Source organism: Homo sapiens, chromosome 5 (assembly GCF_000001405.40).
Source record: "Homo sapiens chromosome 5, GRCh38.p14 Primary Assembly".
NCBI classification, from domain to species: domain Eukaryota; kingdom Metazoa; phylum Chordata; class Mammalia; order Primates; family Hominidae; genus Homo; species Homo sapiens.
In genome coordinates, this window is record NC_000005.10 from 153,449,003 (window position 1) to 153,461,149 (window position 12,147).

General features: G+C 43.5%; 2 annotated features.

The window, feature by feature from the left end:
• Positions 721–1,581: an enhancer, noted in NCBI's record as "OCT4-NANOG hESC enhancer chr5:152829283-152830143 (GRCh37/hg19 assembly coordinates)". NCBI's record gives its function as "activates a minimal SCP1, AML or CMV promoter by ChIP-STARR-seq in primed H9 embryonic stem cells {active_cell/tissue: H9 hESC(primed)}" and the evidence as "EXISTENCE:reporter gene assay evidence [ECO:0000049][PMID:30033119]".
• Positions 7,297–7,870: an enhancer, noted in NCBI's record as "OCT4-NANOG hESC enhancer chr5:152835859-152836432 (GRCh37/hg19 assembly coordinates)". NCBI's record gives its function as "activates a minimal SCP1, AML or CMV promoter by ChIP-STARR-seq in primed H9 embryonic stem cells {active_cell/tissue: H9 hESC(primed)}" and the evidence as "EXISTENCE:reporter gene assay evidence [ECO:0000049][PMID:30033119]".

Below are 12,147 nucleotides of genomic sequence, written 5' to 3' on the forward strand. Positions count from 1 at the left end.
ACCCTGAAGGCTTAGATATGAGGAGTTGGGGGAGAGGGATCAATAGTAATGAGAGCTCCAGCAACAGATAAGCTTCTGAATTCAGACATATAATCCAAGAAATCACAGGCAAGTGACTCGATCCTAGGTCCAAGGCTATAATCTAAATAGTCAGATTTCAGTTACTAGAAGGCAGAATGATATAGCAGAAAAGGCATGAGTTCAGAGCCAGAAAAGATCTAGATACAAACCTTCATTTGGTAACTCACAGCTGTATGGTGTTGTGATTGTCAATTGGAACCCTTTTTAAATATCTTTAAATTACCTGAAAGATGGGAATAAATCTCATCTTGTAAAGCTGTGGAAACACTTGATAACTACCAAATATTGGGCCCTTAGTATAGGCCAGGTGTGTGTGTTAACACTTTATACACATTAGCTCTCTTGCACTTCACAATTATTCTATGCTACAGGAACTATTGTCACCCTTTTACAGAGGAGGAAACTGGAAGTCAAATAGCCCCAGCTGTGGAGAGAGGCAGGTTAGAAGGGAAGAACCTGGGTGGGTGCAGATTGCAGAGATCCACATTGGAAAAGAGATGGCTTACCTTTCCTGCTTTCACCCATAGATGTCATCATGATCCCCTCAGTAAGGACAGACTTTATAGTCATTTTTAGCCATATGCTGCAGGCTATCAGTACCTTTCATGCGCGTCTGTGTGAAGAGACCACCAAACAGGCTATGTGTGAGCAACATGGCTGTTTATTTCACCTGGGTGCAGGCGGGCTGAGTCCAAAAAGAAAGTCAGCGAAGGGAGATAAGGGTGGGGCCGTTTTACAGGATTTGGGTAGGTAAAGGAAAATTACAGTCAAAGGGGGTTTGTTCTCTGGTGGGCAGGAGTGGGGGTCGCAAGGTGCTCAGTGGGGGTGCTTTTTGAGCCAGGATGAGCCAGGAAAAGGACTTTCACAAGGTAATGTCATCAGTTAAGGCAAGGACCGGCCATTTAGACTTCTTTTGTGGTGGAATGCCATCAGTTAAGGTGGGGCAGGGCATATTCACTTCTTTTGTGATTCTTCAGTTACTTCAGGCCATCTGGGCATATACGTGCAAGTCACAGGGGATGCGATGGCTTGGCTTGGGCTCAGAGGCCTGACATTCCTGCCTTCTTATATTAATAAGAAAAATAAAATAGTGTTGAACTGTTGGGGCGGCGAAAATTTTTGGTGGGTGGTATGGAGAGAGAATGGGCGATGTTTCTCAGGGCTGCTTCAAGCGGGATTAGGGGCGACGTGGGAACCTAGAGTGGGAGAGATTAAGCTGAAGGGAGGTCTTGTGGTAAGGGGTGATATTGTGGGGATGTTAGAAGAAACATTTGTCGTATAGAATGATTGATGATGGCCTGGATACGGTTTTGTATGAATTGAAAAACTAAATGGAATAACAGAAGGAGAAAAACAGGTATAAAAGGTCTAAGAATTGGGACGACTCAGGATATCTGATTAGAGAGTGCTTAAGGAGATTTGGCATAGTCCTGCCAGCAAAGATTATTTATTTACTTCAAGAGTTAAGAGTGGCAGGTTGGGGATAGCACCAGGAGATATCAGCTGTGATGGCTTGGAGAAACAGTGTAAACTGGCAGTGTAAACAAGAGCAGGGCATGTATGAGTAGTTGAGAACGGCGAATAGGAGTATGACTAGACAGAAAATAGTAGGGATGACAAGTTTTTTTGGGGGGGAGGGGCACAGTCTAAGTTGGTCTGGTGTCTGGAATGAGACTGGGGCCTAATAAAAAGGAGCATCTATATAGGAGCTTAAATGCGCTGTATCCTGTAGCATTCCGAGGACAGGCCTGAATTCTGAGAAGGGAAAGTGGTAAAAGTATTGCCCAGTCCTTTTTAAGTTGGTGGCTGAGCTTGGTGAGGTGTGTTTTTAAAAGACTTTTAGTCCATTCTACTTTTCTTGAAGACGGAGGACCATAAGGGATATAAAGGTTTCACTGAACACTAAGAGCCTGAAAAACTGCTTGGCTGATTTGACTAATAAAGGCTCGTCTGTTATCAGACTGTATAGAGGTTGGAAGGCTAAACTGAGGAATTATGTCTGACAGAAGGGAAGAAATGACTGTGGTGGCCTTCTCAGACCCTGTAGGAAAGGCCTTTACTTATTCAGTGAAAGTGTCTATTTAGACTAAGAGGTATTTTAGTTTCCTGACTCAGGCATGTTGGGTAAAGCTAATTTGCCAGTCCTGGGTGGGGGCAAATCCTTGAGCTTGATGTGTAGGGAAGGGAGGGGGCCTGAATAATCCCTGAGGAGTAGTAGAATAGCAGATGGAACACTGAAAAGTTATTTCCTTGAGGATAGATTTCCATGATGGAAAGGAAATGAGAGGTTCTAAGAGGCAGGCTAGTGGCTTGAACTATAGTATAACCTGCCTTTGCTGGTGTGTGGCAATTAGGCCTGGTGGAACCGCCATCAATAAGTCAAGTGTGATCAGGGTGAGGAACAGGAAAGAAGGAAATTTGGGGGAATGTGGTGAATGTCAGGTGGATCAGAGAGATACAGTCATGGGGGTCAGGTGTGGTATCAGGAATAATATGGTAGGCTGGATTGAAGTCCGGGCCAGGAACAATGGTAATTGTGGGAGACTCAACAAAGAGTGAGTATAGCTGAAGGAGGCAGGAAGCAGAAAGTATATGCATCAGGTATGAGGAAGAAAATAGATTTTGGAAGTTATGAGAACTGTAGAGAGTGAGTTGAGCATAGTTTGTGATTTTGAGGGCCTCTAAAAGTATTAAAGCAGCAGCAGCCACTGCACGCAGACATGAGGGCTAGGCTAAAACAGTAAGGTCAAGTTGTTTGCACAGAAAGGCTACAGGGTGCGGTCCTGGCTCTTGTGTAAGAATTCTGACCGCACTAACTATGCCTAGGAAGGAAAGGAGTTGTTGTTTTGTAAGGGATTGAGGTTTGGGAGATTAATTGGACACGATCAGCAGGGAAAGCACGTATGTTTTTATGAGAATTATGCCGAGATAGGTAACAGATGAGGATGAAATTTGGGCTTGACTGAAGTAATGGGGGCTGTCTATGAAGCCTTGCAGCAGTACAGCCTAGGTAATTTGCTGAGCCTAATGGCTGTCAGGGTCAGTCTAAGTGAAAGCAAAGAGAGGCTGGGATGAGGGGTGCAGGGGAATAGTGAAAAAAGCATCTTTAAGATCAAGCACAGAATAGTGAGTTGTGGAGGAAGGTATTGAGGACAAAAGAGTGCATGGGTTGGGCACCACAGGGTGGATAGGCAAAACAATTTGGTTGCTAAGGCGCAGATCCTGAACTAACTTGTAAGGCTTGTCTGGTTTTAGGACAGGTAAAATGGGAGAATTGTAAGGAGAGTTTATAGGCTTTAAAAGGCCATGCTGTAGCAGGCGAGTGATAACAGAATTTAATCTTTTTAAAGCGTGCTGCGGGATGGGATATTGGCGTTGAGTGGGGTAAGGGTGATTAGGTTTTAATGAGATGGTAAGAAGTGCATGATCGGTCGCCAAGGAGGGAGTAGAGGTATCTTATACTTGTGGGTTAAGGTGGGGGGATAAAAGAGGAGGACGCAAAGGAGGCTTTGGATTGGGAAGAAGGGCGGCAATGAGATATAGCTGTAGTCCAGGAATAGTCAGGGAAGGAGATAATTTAGTTAAAGTGTCTCAGCCTAATAAGGGAACTGGGCAGGTGGGGATAACTAAAGAGGAGTGCTTAAAAGAGTATTGTCGAAGTTGGCACCAGAGTTGGGGAGCTTTAAGAGGTTTAGAAGCCTGGCTGTCAATACCCACAACAGTTATGCAGGCAAGGGAAATAGGCCCTTGAAAAGAAGGTAATGTGGAGTGGGTGGCCTCCGTATTGATTAAGAAGGGGACGGGCTTACCTTCCACTGTGAGAGTTACCTGAAGCTCGGCGTCCGTGATGGTCTAGGGGGCTTCCAAGGCGATCGGGCAGTGTCAGTCTTCAGCCGCTAAGCTGAGAAGATCTGGGAAGGAGTCAGTCAGAGATCCTTGGGCCAGAGTTCCAGGGGCTCTGGGAGTAGCTGCCAGGTGAGTTGAACAGTCCGATTTTCAGTGGGGTCCCCCAGAGATGGGATACGGCTTAGGAGGAATCCCGGGCTGCGGGCATTCCTTGGCCCAGTAGCCAGATTTCTGGCACGTGTAGCAAGCTTCTGGGGGAGGAGGTTCTGGAGGAACGCCTGGCTGCTGCTGTTCAGGTGTTTGGAAGTTCTTGTGTGCTGGAGATGTGGCTAGGGTTTGTCTCGCAGTGGAGGCAAGGAATTGCAACTTTTTTCTGTTATTGTACACCTTGAAGGTGAGGTTAATTAAGTCCTGTTGTGGGGTTTGAGGGCCAGATTCCAATTTTTGGAGTTTTATTTAATGTCAGGAGCAGATTGGGTAATAAAATGAATATTGAGAATAAGATGACCTTTTGACCTTTTAGGTTCTAGGGCTGTAAAGCGTCTCAGGGTTGCTGCCAAATGAGCCATGAACTGGGCTGGATTTTTATATTTGATGAAAAAGAGCCTAAACGCTATCTGATTTGGGATAAAGAAAAAGGAGCATTAATCTTGACTATGCCTTTGGCTCCAGCCACCTTTTTAAGAGTAAATTGCTGGGCAGGTGGGGGAGGGCTAGTCACAGAAGGAAACTGTAAGCCAGACCAGGTGTGAGGAGGGGAGGTGATGAAAAGATTACAGGGTGGAGGAGCGGAGGCTGAGGAAGAATTGGGACCTAGCTTGGGCTGGTGAGGAGGGGAGAGGTCAGATGGGTCTGTAGAAAAGGAAGATTAGAAAGACTCAGCGATGCTTGGGGTTGGGACTGAGGGGACAGGCGGGAGGGAAAGAAGGAAGATTTGGGACGAGTTGCACTGGGCATAGATACTAGGAAGGGACTGATGTGTAAAAGAATGCCTGGATGTCAGGCACCTCAGACCATTTGCCCATTTTACGACAAGAATTATTTAGATCTTGTAGGATGGAAAAATTGAAAGTGCCATTTTCCGGCTATTTGGAACTACTGTCCAGTTTGTATTGGGGTCAAGCGGCATTGCAGAAGAAAATAAGGCATTTAGGTTTTAGATCAGGTGTGAGTTGAAGAGGTTTTAAGTTTTTGAGAACACAGGCTAAGGGAGAAGAAGGAGGAATGGAAGGTGGAAGCTTACCTATAGTGAAGGAGGCAAGCCCAGAGAAAAGAGTAGAGACATGGAGAAGGGGTGGGGGGTTCTTGCCCTCCAGAAAAGCAGAGAAGGGGTTGGGGCACGGAAATAAGGGATTGGGGCACAGAGATAAGAGGTCAGGGTGCGGAAATAAGGGATTGGGGTGCAGAGATATAGGTTGGGGTTTGGAAATAAGCGATTGGGGGATTCTTGCTCCCTAGGAAAGTGGGACTTGCCGCTAAGGGTGAAGGAGAAGGGGTTGAAGGGTACTTGCCCCTGCCCCAGGAAAGCAGAGAAGGGGTAGAGACAGAGAAGGGGTTGGGGTACTTGCCCCTCCCCCAGAAAAGCGGGACTTGCCGCTAAGTGTGAAGGACTAAGGCAGGCGTCCCTGTGTGGTCTGACACCCTTGAAACGTGAGTGTATAATCAGAGAAGCATCCTTGCAATGATTAAACACCAAGGGAAGGCTGCCTTCCCAGTCCGTGACCGGCGCCGGAGTTTTGGGTCCACGGATAAAACATGTCTCCTTTGTCTCTCCCAGAAAATGAAAGGAATTGAAATTAAGAGAAGGGGGAGATTGAAGAGTGGAAAGGAGAAAGTGGTTGAGGGACGGTGAGAGAGGTTGGAGAAGAGAGTAAGAAGAGGCCGCTTACCTGATTTAAAATTGGTGAGATGTTCCTTGGGCTGGTCGGTCTGAGGGCCTGAGGTCATAGATGGATCTTTCTCACGGAGCAAAGAACAGGAGTACGGGGGATTGATCACCCAAGGGAGGTCCCCCGATCCGAGTCATGGCACCAAATTTAGGCACCAAATTTCATGCGCGTCCGTGTGAAGAGACCACCAAACAGGCTTTGTGTGAGCAACATGGCTGTTTATTTCACCTGGGTGCAGGCGGGCTGAGTCCAAAAAGAGAGTCAGCAAAGGGAGATAAGGATGAGGCCGTTTTACAGGATTTGGGTAGGTAAAGGAAAATTACAGTCAAAGGGGGTTTGTTCTCTGGTGGGCAGGAGTGGGGGTCGCAAGGTGCTCAGTGGGGGTGCTTTTTGAGCCAGGATGAGCCAGGAAAAGGACTTTCACAAGGTAATGTCATCAGTTAAGGCAAGGACCGGCCATTTAGACTTCTTTTGTGGTGGAATGTCATCAGTTAAGTTGGGGCAGGACACATTCACTTCTTTTGTGATTCTTCAGTTACTTCAGGCCATCTGGGCATATACGTGCAAGTCACAGAGGATGCGATAGCTTGGCTTGGGCTCAGAGGCCTGACAGTACCATGTTGGGAGTTGACATGCAAAGTGAAATGTAGTTACTTTCCCAATTCTGGATGACCCTTAGGTTTTCTTCTGATATTCCAATGTGCTAACAGAATTGTTAAACTCAACTTCTCTTCTCTGTCATGGTTTAAAGAAATTCAAATAATAGAAGAGGAAATAATGGACATTTCTGGGACCCAGAGCATAGCTAAGTCAGTTGGACAATGGCAAATGTTGACTTCAGAGCATTTCCTCCTTGACTACCCCAAGCACACAGAAGCCATCCACTTCCCCTTCCAAAGCTAGTATTCAAAAATGCTTCCTGCCAAGTTAGGCTGAGGTGTAAGTGACTAAAGATGACAAAGTATGACTATGGGATATTAATTGCTGCAGAAACCAAAGTTTTGAAGCAAAAAGAATAATCGTGAGCATCAAATGAAATATTAAGTATATCTACTTTTAAGAAAATGGTAGAGGATATGGTGGAAGCCTCAAATCCCTCTACAGTTACAGAATTTGGATAGTAAACTATTTAACCTATATGTGAGGCTAGCTCTGTCCCAGAATAACCCTGAGATCACAAGTTAATTCTGAGATCTAAACATCTTGGTTGCAACCTTTTGATTTACACAGCTTATGGGCTGAAACGAATTTCATCTTTCTCAGTTTAACACAAGAACAACAAATTTCTCCATCTTTTGTGTAAAAGATCTGATTTTCATAATATGTAGTTTAGCACCTGATAACAATTAATTTGTTAAGTATGATCTGAGAAATGTTATGATGCACTGTGCTTTTGTCTCATTCTGTCTTTTTAAATAGTGCTATTAGCTCCTCACTGCCCATAGTGGCCTCATGGCTTTTTTGAGGTAATATGTACAGCTTAATCCAGAGAATGAAATATCTAGTCCTACATGGTATGGTAGTCAGAACTTTAAATTTAATAGGAAAACTTCTCTGAATACCTAATTTGTACACTTTATAGGTGAAAACTTGCAAATGATTGACAGGAGTACAGATTATATATGACTTCTAATCTCTTTCCCCATCTTGTGCTTCAACCCTTCCTCCATTTTGCTAGCCAAGATTTCCAGTCTCTTCAGGATTGCAGGTGTAGGGCGGAGTGGAACAGGAAAGTTCTGGCTTGACTGACATTGTCATGCACTGACGTTGCATTCCTTAGCCTTGGGAGCTGTTTACACTTGACTGTCTACTTTGAGGGGGGTTTCCAGAAAGGTTTTATCAGTGAGTGGCTGGCATCCACAGCTCCCTTGAAGGGGGCTTATGTATCTTTCTTTTGCCTCATTACTTGCAACTCCTGCTGAGTCCCTGGGAATTGGGCAGTACATCGCCAGCCTCTTTTAGGTGAGACCTTTTTATTTTCAGGAGGTCCTCCTGGAAATGCCTAAAATGATGCCTTTCCAGGATCTAGCACATGTAGCCCACATCTGATTCACTAGAATTGCTTAGGGATCTTTGCACTGAGAGCCTCGCTCTGAGAACACTGTTTGATCCCCACCTTCATAACCTCCACTTTGCTCTGGTCAGCCACTTTCTCAGGAATGATGACCAGCCTATTCCTCTACTAAAATTTTCCCACCCCTACTCTCCATTCCTCAGACTACAACATAAAGAGAAACTTAGTAGAAAATAGTCTCAAAGGCCTTCTACCTAGGTGAGTGGCAGGCTCCTGCCCAAGCCTCGCCATGGCAGGAAGACTCACAGCACACTGGCATTTTTCTCCCAACATCCTCTCAGTCTCTTCTCAGACTCTCCAACTGCATAGCATGAGGTGGGTGGGTGACTCAGGTGGTAAATGATTTATCTGCCATCTCCTTTTTGCAAATCCTGTATGATAGTCCTATTTTAAAATCTAACATCTATTTTCTTCATGCCTCAGCCAAAACTGAGAGAGGAAATTTGAATGTCCTGTTAAAACTCCATTTAACTCACAGGATCATTTTTCAATACTGTTGTTTTATTTAGGTTAGTCTTTGGAAGACATAACTAAACTCGATATTTGTAAATATGTGCTAATTTCTGGAAGCATTTCAATATCAACATTTCCTCTGGTCTCTCTTCCCATGTGACCTGCCGAATTCTCTGATGTGGGCCTTTTCATTTGATTCAGACTCACATTTAGGGAGTAGCAGGTTTAAGGTTAGAATCCAGGCCTCCTCACCCTCAGTGACCTGTTGCTTTCCACCAATGATAATGACAATAAAAATAGTACAATACTAATGATACACATTAATTGCGTGTAAACACTGCCTTTAAGTGTAATAGCTTAATCAATCTGACAACTTATACATAGACAATATTACGATGTCCATTTTACAGATAAGGAAACCGCCACACAGAAAGGTTAGTAACTTATCAGGGTCACACAGTTAGTAAGTGGCAGAGCAATTGGGTTCAGTGTCTACATCCTTGACCCTTAGAAAAAGAGTGTTTTTGTCTTCTTACTGTACACTTTACATTCAGAGCATTTTGATATAAAATATTTAATACCTCTGTATGATAAAGGAGGACAAGGATTACCCTCTTTCTTGATAGATGAGAAGTGCAAGACATACAAGTTGAGTAGGAGCCTGGTGTGAGGTCATACTGCTAATGGGGACAGAGCCCACATGTGAAACCAAGTTCCTTGAGTTCCTAGCGAGTATTTCACACTGTGTTAGGTGGCCTAATATATCATAGGCCTGTAACTGGTATTTCTGTAAGGGGAAAAAATTACTGCAGAGAGTTTTCCAGGATGTTTCAAACTAAATAAGAGAGGGTTGAGGAGCACAGGATGAGCATGGAGTAGGAGAGCATTGAACTAGACAAAAGCCCTACTCCAAACTTTATATATCAGTTTCCTTTAAGATTTTTTTAAAGAGATATGCTGTTTTTATTTATGTAAACAACCAATGTAGTCCAACCTTCAACTTTACAGAGAAACTGAAGCTCAGAGAAAAAATAACTGAACTTACATAGTGAGTTAATGCACAACTGAGTCTAGAAGCCAGCCAGTTTCCCAGTTCTCTGGCCCCACACTTTGCCCCTTGTCCCTTCTGCTGGTTCTCCTGTGTTATCAATGTAATATAACCCTGGAGTCAGGCTGGGAGCTGACATACAGTGAGTATGGTTTGTACCAATACCCTGGTAGTAAAACAAAGTGATTATGTTTCAATTAATGACATATGCATATGTATGCCAAAAAGAAACACCCTGCTATGCATATGCATATATTATTAATTATGCAACATGCTTTCTTACATTTATATTTTCATAGCTTTTTATAGCATTAATTACTTCGTTAAATTTAAGAAAAATGTGAGGGATGGCATAAACAGGCTTTACTGCCAGTAGGTAATCAAGTGCTAAGTAGCATGGGGTTGTCTGTGTGTCAATGAATGCTTCTTTCAATCCTGTCTTTGACAGTTGACAAAACTACACTTCTTGATTTCTACCATGATGCCTGGGTCCGCTGTGGTGTCAGGTGCTCAAAAGCAGTGGGTAATTGATGTTCTATTCTACCCTCTAGGTGTGCAGAAGTATTCGCCTTGGAGTTTGCAGAGCTGAGTTGTAACTACACCTTGACCCCAGTTAGCTGTAAGACTCTGGGTAATTCAATTCCTTTTCTAATTTTATTTTTCCTTTGTCACAACCATAATGCAGAGCATTTCTTGGCAAAGAAATGAAAGAAGACAAGGTACTAGTGGAAACATTGGATGAGGGCCAGGGTAGAAGGGGTGGTAATTTCACAGAAGTAAAAAGGAAGGAGAATCTGAACCATAAGATCCCAGTAACTGGCTTGCCTCTCCACACTCCTCCTCTACTGCTCCTCCCCTGGAGGCCTCCAGCCACACTGCCCTTTCTGTTCCTTAAATAGGCCACATTTTCTCCTTCCTCTGAACCTTCTCATGCTCTGTTTCTTCTGCCTGGACCCCACCCCTATTTTTGCACCCCTTACTGGCCTAACTCCTATTAGACCCTCTCATAAGTCCCTAAGTTAGATTCTCCCTACTGTAGACTTCCACAGATGCTTCTCCTCTCATCAAATCACACAACAGGCCTTATGGCAATTATTTATTCATTATTTGCCTTTCTTGGTAGACTGAAGCTCCATAATAGCAGGAATTGTGACAGCCTAGCTCTTGGCTGTATTCCCAGAGCACAAGTGCATAATATTTATTGCAGGACTGATTTCTGAGGAAAGCACATACTATATGATCCTGTCCATATAAAATCCTTTAAAATGCAAATTAATCTATAATGACAGTAAGGAGATCAGTGATTGCTAGGGAACCTGGAAGGAGTTGGGGGGTGGGAGACAGATAGATTTCAAAGAACCATAGAGAACTTTTAGAAGTGATGGATATATTCATTGGCTTGATTGTGGTGATGGTTTTACAGACATATACAGATATCAAAACTCATCAAATTATACACTTTAAATATGTGCAGTTTATTATACATCAATTATAACTTAAAGCCATACACATATTAAAGTATAAAGCAAATAGAAATGCTGTTGTAGGAAAAAAGAAAGAATTGAGTAAGATGTGCAGAGAGCTCAAAAAAGTCAGAGTGAAAAATGTCCATTAGATTTGAGTATTTTCAGGTATTTGGGAACCTAAGCGAAATCAGTGAATGGAAATCCACCAATGATGAACGGGCTTTCCAATTGGCTATTTTTCTGCCTAATCAACTCCATAAGATGATAGGGCATCCTTCGCTCCATCCCACTGGCTCTCTACACCAGTGTATTAATTTGATAAGGCCATTTTGCTTGTAACAAATAGAAATCACCCTGTGCTAGATTAGGCAAAAATAAGGAAATTATTATAAGAATACAAGAATTCCTGAGAAAGCCCAAGGCCAGGAATGTCACTCCTAGACCATGGGGAAATCAGAAATAAAGATCTGGAATGTGAGCAGTAACCCAGCATGCATGCTTAGTTTCCAATCCTTGCTCCCATTGGCACCTCTGCTTCTTTCCCTCTCCCTGAAAATCAGATTTGGGCACTCCTTAGTTGACTCAAAAAGACTAAGGACATCCTGTGGCTCCCCGATTGGCAAAGTCCAGCTTCAGCCACCAGAGCAGATGAGCTGTCACCTTTAAATCACAATTCTGAAGCTCTGGAAGAGAGAATAGAATTGGTTCAACTAGATTTGGGGGCTACCTCCATCTGCTCAAGTTTGGCTGGTGAGTCACTTAGATGATACATGCTGCTTGAGCTTTCCTTCTTGGCTGGGGGAAAATGGGAGGACATTTATTAAAGTAAAGGAGAATTGATGATTTAGATAGACACTCTGGAACTCTCTATTAAAGTTTGTTATAGATATGCAGAGTGGGGATGAGAATGTCCGATTCCCAGATAACAAAATTGAGCCTCGAATAATTCATTCATTTCCCCAAAGCACATTCTGTAAGAGACTGAAAGGCCTCCAGACTTTGACTACGAGCCCCAGTGCCCTTGCTAGAACACCAAATGGCTTTCCTAAAGCAATCCTGCCCTCAAGAAAGATTTTAAATATTATTTGAACTCAAGTGTAAATAAATGCAAATAGCTCGAGCATGATCCCAGCATTTTTGAGAGGAAAGATTGGAGGGGAGGCAAGATGGATTTACCTTTTAGCAGAAACCAAAGGCTTAAGCTGAAGAATAGCGTATTAATGGTAATATTTCAGTCATCCTTTGGTGCATATGTGGTTTTAAAAAGGACATCTGTCCATTCTGAAGCTC